The 8,913-nt window shown below is 38.9% G+C and overlaps 1 annotated feature.

Moving 5' to 3' along the window:
• Positions 6,977-8,176: an enhancer, noted in NCBI's record as "P300/CBP strongly-dependent group 1 enhancer chr12:66050206-66051405 (GRCh37/hg19 assembly coordinates)". NCBI's record gives its function as "activates an origin of replication core promoter dependent on BRD2, BRD4, P300/CBP, MED14 and CDK7 cofactors, with strong dependence on P300/CBP, by STARR-seq in HCT116 cells {active_cell/tissue: HCT116}" and the evidence as "EXISTENCE:reporter gene assay evidence [ECO:0000049][PMID:35650434]".

The following is an 8,913-nucleotide window of genomic DNA, read 5'->3' on the forward strand; positions in this document are numbered from 1 at the left end:
AGTGGAACACTGTCACTCAAGCAAAGAGATTACAGAATGTAGCCAGTTCCTTGTGGATATAAAATAATCAAGACTTTTTGAGGAAATGGTTGTCAGCTTTGGTTTTATGCTAGAGACCTCCCATTGATCTCTTTTCTCAAATTATTCAGCTTTTAGCTCAAGAGGGATGCTAAGCCAGGCTGGCCACCCAGGTATTTGATAATATAAGTCCTGGTGTCTATACGAAAAGGAGCTTATAAAAATCCACAGCATGCTAGATGTCATACCTACAGAAATTATTGCTTTTAAACTCAGGCAGAATAGGATAGATTTGATATGATTGGCATTAGGGAGCCAATGTGGGCTTTTGAGTGAGGAAGTAAAGATTTGATTGAAAAATCACGTTGACTCCTAAATTGTATAAACACTAATGCTTAGGGAAATTCAACTTCTTTGTCCTTTGGAGACAGTAACCAGAAACAGAGATTTGGGGGATATAGGAGTAAAATGATAAGAACAGGAGTGGGGGTCAGGGAGAAAGATACAGTTGCCAAAGCTGTAGTGGACACGACCACTGGATGGCAAAAAGGGCTTTACATATAGCTTGAACCAAGTTCTTTGAAGAATAAGGCCATTTGGACTTAGGCAAAAGACCAATAATCACCAGAGGACTTGGATTTATTATCCAAACATCTAGGTCCTTTAATCACAAAGTGTTTGGAAGGTTGAAATTTCAACCTAAATTACAAAAGCATCACAGCAAGGTTCCACCTGAACTAAAAGTTGGGGAATCAACTAAATCCCAAAGAAGAAAGGCTAGAATGTGCCTCTTGAGTGGCAGGCCACTTCCAAACTGCCCATTTGATAGGTTCAAATGGAAAGCCTCTCTCAAAACTCCAATTCCGAGATGACACCTAATTTACTTTTTAACTTTTATTCTTTGCCTAGAATGAATAAGAAATATGAGTGTTCTTTCATTGTAATGATGAATATGATTCCTTGTATTTACAAGATTCCTGTTCTGTAATAATTTTAATGATGTGCATATAAGAACCCCCATGAATGCTCTAGCACAGTGATTCTCAAAGTGTGGTCCCTAGACCATCAGCAAGGTCTTTGGAAACTTGTTAGAATGCAGTCTCAAGCCCCACCCCAGACTTACTGAATCAAAAACTTTGAGAGAAGAGTTCAACAGGCTGTATGTACTTAACAAGCCCTCCAGGTAGGCTCAAGTTTGGTACCTTCTGAGGTAGGCTCAAGGTTGAGAGCCTCTGCTTTTAAATCACAGTAAGAGCTATTCAAAATCATTAAGGTCATTAGCTGTGACTTGAGCTCCAAGGTATAGAAAAAAAATCAAGCCAGTGGGAAATTGTTCAATAACTTTCAAAATTTTCAAAGCATAGGTGTCAAAGCCCTATCTCGTAAATTTCTTTTACTGAATTGATTTATGTTGTTTATCTGGAGGGGCATAAATTGGTATTTTTATTACTACTGGCTCCCTTATAAAGCAACTGATAGGCCATATAAGTTTTTTAATATTATAATTTTTGTTAATGTTATAGGCCTTTTAATTTTGAATCCCTACCTTCCTTGTGAAGGCCTCTGAAATGGCCCTTCCCTAAATCAGTAGTTGTGGGCAGGGGAATGGAATTGTTTCGCCAATGTGAGAACTCATTCCAACCTCCCTAGGTGAGAGGATGAAATTGCACCCCACTTCCCCATCATATAAATTAGAAAAGATATGGGTCTTCTTCCCAAAGTTTGTTTAGCAACCAACACATGTCCCTTATAAGGAAGGTGATTCCTCTAAGATCATCATCTGTGAGAACAATGTAAGCCTGAAATTGAGAACAATCATCTTACCCGCTATGTGGAGAGATCTTGACTAAAAGTGAAACTGACACCCAGAAAAAAAGAAGGAGGCAAGGCATGGTGGCTCACACTTGTAATCCCAGCACTTTGGGAGGCTGAGGCAGGCAGATCACTTGAGCCCAAGAGTTCGAGACCAGCCTGGGCAACATGGCAAAACCTCATCTCTACAAAAAACACAAAAATTAACCAGACGTAGTGGCATATGCCTGTAGTCCTAGCTACTCGGGAGGCTGAGGCAGGAGGATCTCTTGAGCCCAGGAGGTTGAGGCTGCAGTGAGTCGTGATTGTGCCACTGCACTCCAGTCTGGGCAACAGAGCAAGACTGTGTCTCAAAAAAAAAAAAAAAAAAAAAAAAAAGCGAGAGAGAGAGAGAGAAAGGGAGACCTGCAAGCGTTGTTTGAACTCCCAGGAACCAACCATACGTGAAGCCAAATTAATCCTAAGACCTCCCAGCATGTCAACCAATAAATTCCCTTTTGGCTTGAGTTAGTTTCAGTTGGATTTCTGTCCATTAAGACCAAAGAACCCTGAGTAATACAATCTCTAAAATAATTTACAGCTTTGTGCGAATCGCAGATGTTCCAATAAACACCTTCAAGGGGAGGCATACATAAAAGATTGTGCTTGACTGATAGTCAAGAAATCAGAAACAGGGTTTTGGTACCATCTATTGAAGAACTTGGGCAAGTTTTAAGTCTCTGAGCTTTTCCTTACTTACATGTAACAGAAGAGATTGGTCTAGATCTATTCAAGAAACATGTATTCTAGAACTGATAGAGGCCTCAGAGATCAGTCTGTTCAAATATTTATTTTAGAAATGAGAAAACCTGGCCAGGCGTGGTGCCTCACACCTGTAATCCCAGCGCTTTGGGAGGCCGAGGCAGGTGGATCACTTGAGTTCAGGAGTTCAAGACCAGCCTGGGCAACATGGCAAAGCCCTATTTCTACAAAAAATACAAAAATTAGCCGGGCGTGGTGGCGTGTGCCTGTGGCCCCAGCTATTCAGGAGGCTGAGGTGGGAGGATCATTTGAGCCTGGGGAGGGTAAGGCTGCAGTGAGCTGTGATAGTGCAACTGTACTCCAGCCTGGGCCATAGAGTGAGACCCTCCCCCCAAAAAAAAGGAGAGAGAGAGGAGGAAGAAGAAGAAAAAAATGAGAAAATTGCAGAGAGTCATTTGGTCAATATCATAGAGCCTGTAGGTAGTTGTAGTTGTGCAAGCTCAAACATACCTGCCCTGACTCCGATTCCAGTGCCCTTTTCACAATAGCACTTAACTGTACTTTCTGAAGATGCATTTAGTTAATCATTGTTATCTTTATATACTAACATACTAGGATGGTCTTGGTTGCAAGTAATTCAAATAATTTTTAAATTAGAGGTTTATTGTTCACATATCAAGATGTCCAGAGAAAGGTTGATTCCACTGTTGGTGGGCCCAGAGATCTACAGCATATTAAAACCTAGATTCTTTCCTGCCGTTCTCAGCATGTCGACTTTGGTGCCAGGTTCTTTTCCTTATGGTCATAAGATAGTAACAACAACTCACACAAGTCCAAAAGCCAGATGGGGAAAAAGTCTTCTTATCAATTATATGTAATGTGGTATACCGGATAGCATCCTGGACAAGAAAAAGGATATTAGGGGAAAACTGAGGAATGCTGAAAAAAGTATGGACTTTAAGTAATAATAATGCATATGTTTTGTTTAATTAATTGGGACAAATGTATGGCACTATTGTAAGATTTTAACAATAGGGGAAATGGTGTGGGGCATATGGAAACTACTTGTACTGCCTTTGCAATTTTTTCTATAAATTTTTCTGTAAAATTATTCTAAAATTAAAAGTATATTTTAAAAAACAAAATAACTGGCCTTTGCCTGAGCCTGCAATAAGCAGTTTGCTCCTTTTCTCCTTTGAAAAATATCTTTGTTCAGAAATTGCTGCTGTTAAGTGGACTGTTAAATGTCTGTTGCAGTCAAGTTGCAGACAACTTGACTAAACTGACTTTAGATAGAAGTATTTCTTGTTTCACTGGAGTCAGATAATCACTGAATCTTCAACAATCAATGGAAATTGAGTTATCATCAAAATGCTATTTCATTGTATGCTGCAATCACTTGTAGAGTATAACTGCTAATGCTATAAATGGTGACTGCATGCTACGCCTTCCCCCACTCAAAGTCATATGCACATGAACTGCAAATATTCTTGTTGTTGCACTACAGAGCCTTGCAGATAAAAGATGAATTGTAGACAGCCAAGTTACTGGCTCAGCCAGTCGCAACACAACACAAAACAGGTGACTATAAAAACCATCTCTGTTTCTCTCCAATACACCATACTCCCTCTTCCAACACACACACACATACACAATTGGGGTGGTGGTGGTTGTGAATGTCTATATAATGCTAAGATCATCATTGCAGAAACTCCTGATGTGTGTATGCAGGAGAATAATCATTGAGAATCCCCTCCACCCATGGCAAAATCAGAGCACACAACACTGAAAATCCAGGTGCCAATTCAAACTGTAAGGATATTCTGAAAAATCTCAATATTTAAATTTCTAATCAATATTAAAGACTCTGAGCAAGCCTCTAGCTCTTTGATTAGGAAATGCTTTTAAAAGACTGTAGATATGGCCATGCAGGGTTATTTGGAGAAGTATCAACTAGTTTCTTTTCTCCTTTTTCCTTCCTAAGGATTTTGAGACCGTTTAGATAAAGTCTAATGCTTTGAAGATGGAAGTTCGAGTTGTTTTGTGAAAAGGAAGTTGTACGAGGTGCTTTTGTCAGGTTAATTAACTGTAAACTCTGAACTCTTTCTGAATCAGAGGCCAGCAGTCTCAAGACAATCATACTTTGCATGGGGTGTGCAAGAAAGCAGCAATATCTGAAAAAGCAAGAGATGGCAAGACTTACCTTGAAATTTAATCAGGGGAAAAATCCTAATGGATTCTCCTTGTATGACACTGACATAGAGGCATGAGAATATACTTATGTCAAGGATTGTAACTGAAAATAATTTGCAGGTGAGGATTGTTTGTTTGTTTGAGACAGGGTCTCACTGTGTTGCTCAATCTGGCGTGCAGGAGTGTGATCACAGTTCACTGTAGCTTCAACCTCCCAGGCTCTGGCGATCTTCCCCACCTCACTCTCCCAACTAGCTGGCACTACAGGCATGCCCCACCATGCCCGGCCAATTTTTGTGTTTTTTGTAGAGATGAGGTTTTGCTGTGTTGCTCGGGCTGGTCTCAAACTCTTGGGCTCAAGCTGTCTGCCCACCTTGGCCTCTCAAAGTGCTGGGATTATAGGCGTGAGCCACTGCGCCTGGCCTGCAAATATAATGAACTGGACTTCAAACACTAGACCTGATTCTCTAGTAAAAAGAAGTACAAATATATCCCATCCTACAAAAATCCTAACATGTTGAATCTCTGTTTTAGGAGTTACCAATACATATTAAAGAAGGATACTTGACTAAAAACCTTTTGAAATGACTAAATAACTAATCAGGGTGCTTGATGTTAGAAGACCCTGTTTATGAAGATTTAATCATATACAAAGGTGATAATTGTTGAAATGATGAGAAAATAAAAAGCAGATATATCTCAGGTTTTAAAAATCATAAATTCTGTATAACTTCCGAGGAGCATAAATTGTACAGAAAAGTAGTACAGCTGGAAACGTTGAGGCCTAAGAAATCAATCAACGAAAACAGCCTGAACAAAGCAGATGATAAGGAAGAATTGAACTTGACACAGATACATTCAACACAGAAAGGTACTGATTCAAATGGCACCTGGAGCTTACGGATGGAATCCAGAGAACCAAGGAAGAATGAAATGCCGAGTTCAAGACTAAATCGTCACTGATATGGTCTTAAAGAATCCTTTTGCTAGCAGTATACGCTGTTTAATTGAGTGACTACGTTCTGGGAGATCCTAGCATTTCCAAAAAGCACACTGGTGTTTTGTAGTTGGTCTGTGGGGTTAATCTGATAGGTAGAAGCAGGGATGTGACTCATCGTGGATGGGCTCTATCTGAAGCAGGACATTTTGTTTACAACATTTATCATTTGCTATTGCAGTAGCAAAGACAGTTAGTGAACACAGGCTTATCAAAAAACTAGAAGAAAAATATAACAGTGCAATTCCGGACTATTCAAGAGAACTTCTCTCAGTCTGACTGGCTGATTAACTAAAAAATGGCTATCTATCTTTTACTCAATTTTAATGAATATTATTAAAAGAAATACCACAAATTAAAATCAACAACAGTTAAAGTGATACTCCGTAAGACTTAGAATTATAAAATTTGTCCCTGGGATATTGAATTTATTGAAATAATTGTTCCCACTTTCCCCTCACACAACTCTTACTAGCAAAAACTGCAATCTGTGAATCATTAGGATCAGAAAACTGACTGATGAATCAAATTTTGTAAATGTTTACCCAGAGAAGAAAGAATTGATCCCAATGAAAATTTAAATAAAATTTTAAAAGGAAAAACTGGAAATTGTTAAACTGTTCAAGAAACCAATCAAGATTTAAGAAAAATTGCTTCAGAAAACATTTTTTTACAAAAATGCATTAATGTTACTGTTCCCATTTGAAGGTTTGTTTTCATAACCTCAGCCTCAAAACACCTTCAAAGAATGTTCAGTCAAAAGAAGTCAGTATCAAATATATTCTGAAACCCCTGAATCTGGTATGTGGAATTCAATTTATGCCATTTTATCTCCCGACTTTTGCATATATTGTTCTCCCTGCCTCGAATTCCTTTCTCTGTTTTGTATTCTAAGACAACTCAAGATTTATGCTGCAAGACTCAACTTACAAAAATTGCCTACAGATTGGACCCTCCTAACCTTTGGGCAGAGTTAGATACTTTTACACTGTATGTTTTTGTAAGGCTCCTGCATGAATATTCTATCATATCACTATAATTTCTTGATTATAGGGCTGTCTCATGTACACTAGATAGGAGATTTCTCTAGGGCATGGCTCATGTTCTAGTCCATTTGTTATGAAATCTCTGGCACATAATAGACATGTAATTAATTATTGCTGAATAACTGAGTGGACATGTAAGTGAGGTCTCTATGCTACTCACTCATTTATTTCTCTTGTCCTTTATGAACAAAATCATCAAATCTGCACCGCAACTTTAAAGATGTATTTAAGAAAAAGTTCTCTCCTATACATTCAGATTAGTACTAAACATGTATTTTGTGATGTCTCTCTATTAGCAACACCCCTTCCTTTTCTCCTCCTCCCTATCTATCATCAAGAAAAGCAGTGCATTAATGGGAATCCACTTGAGACTGGGATGGCCGGCTCAGGACCTCTTCTCTCTGGGTATTGGTGGGGGCATCCCTAGAGTGTGGGAGCACTTTCTGGGAGGTCCAGAGGTTAGGTCAACCAAGGGCTTTTTCTTTCCATCCCTTCTCAATTTGACTCTGGATTCAGCTGAATATAGTTAAAGGATTAATTGCCATCATTTTGTTCCCTAAATTAAGAGTCATTGTGGTAAGAACCAAGCATAGCAATATGGGCCAACCACAAAGAAATAAATTACTTTGTAAGTTTCAAAAGATTTTCACCAAATTACTGCCCTGTGCAAATGATGTTGGGGGGAAAATTTTGTTTGAGAAACATTTTCTTTTGTGACTATAATAAGGTATGTGTACCCCTGCTGAGATATGAGTCACATCCCCTGTGTTAGGAAACTGTGGATAGTTTTTGTGGGTTTGGGGTTTTGTATTAAATTTTCAGTGCCTCATGTTTCCTATGACTGATGAATGGATCATCACCTGACTCATAGGCTCTTTTGCTATGGATCACCGAAGTGCAGCTTTTAAAATTCAGTAATGTGGCACCCAGCTGCTCAGAGTTTTAATATGGAGCGAGTAACACCGGAAACATGTAACCAGTGCTTTGAAATGTACATTTCTGAAGTCACCTCTTCCCAGCTTTTTGCAGAATTATAATTAAACTGGTCTAGACTAGTTTGCAACTCCTATTTTTAGAGACCTACAGTGCCCCTTTTTTGGTCTAAGTAGGGATACAATAAACATATGGGTTTGTTTTTTCCAGATTAAAGACATGCCACTGACCTCAATTTCAGCATTCTAAAAGTGAACATTTATTTATTTATTTATTTATTCAACAAATACTTACAGGATGTCTACCTTGTATTCCACTTATGGAGATAGTGGTACTTATTTAGATAGCCCAGTGTGACTGAAGTTCAGATTATGGGAATTTGTAGGGAGAGTATAAGGGATAAGATTGGAAAGAGCAGTCAAGAGCTAGATCTTAAAGAACCTGTGTGCCAAGCTACAGAGTTTGGGCTTTATCCTGAGATCCAGGAGGAGCCCTGAATTGTTTCCACAGAGGGGTGAAATGAGACCTTTTGCACCAGAGTTGAGGAGAAATTAGATGAGGGCAAAGTAAGATGTGGAAGGCAGACCAGTTAGGAGCCTATCATCGTCATCCAAGAGGCAGATGGGGTACAGCCAGAATGAAAGCAAGATCAGTGGGCATAGAGCTAGAACTAATAGGACCTGGCAATGAATCCTGGACTGTGGTTTAGAGTCCTGGCAATCAGACTCTTAATGTTGGAGCCCAACCCCCATCACCACCCCAAAGGCAGAATCCTTGGTTCTCCTCTTTTCTCTGGAAACACACACTTCCTTGCAATCACAACCAATTTCAGGATGACACTCAAATTTATATCTCCAGCCCAGGCATCTCTGAACTCTAGACTTGAATATTCAACAGTCTATGCAACACCTCTATTTGGATGTTTAGCAGAGCTATTCAACATACTATAACCCAATCTGAATGGGAGACCTTCCCTGAAACTTGGCTTACCTTCAGTCTTCTCCATTTTTGTTAGTAGCAACTCCACTTTCAATTGCTTACATCTGAAACTTTGATGTAATGGTGACTCCTATGTGTGTGTGTGTATATATATGTGTATATATATGTATATATATATGTGTATATATACGTATATACATATATACACACATATATACATATATACACACATAT

This window comes from Homo sapiens, chromosome 12 (genome assembly GCF_000001405.40).
Source record: "Homo sapiens chromosome 12, GRCh38.p14 Primary Assembly".
Taxonomy (NCBI): domain Eukaryota; kingdom Metazoa; phylum Chordata; class Mammalia; order Primates; family Hominidae; genus Homo; species Homo sapiens.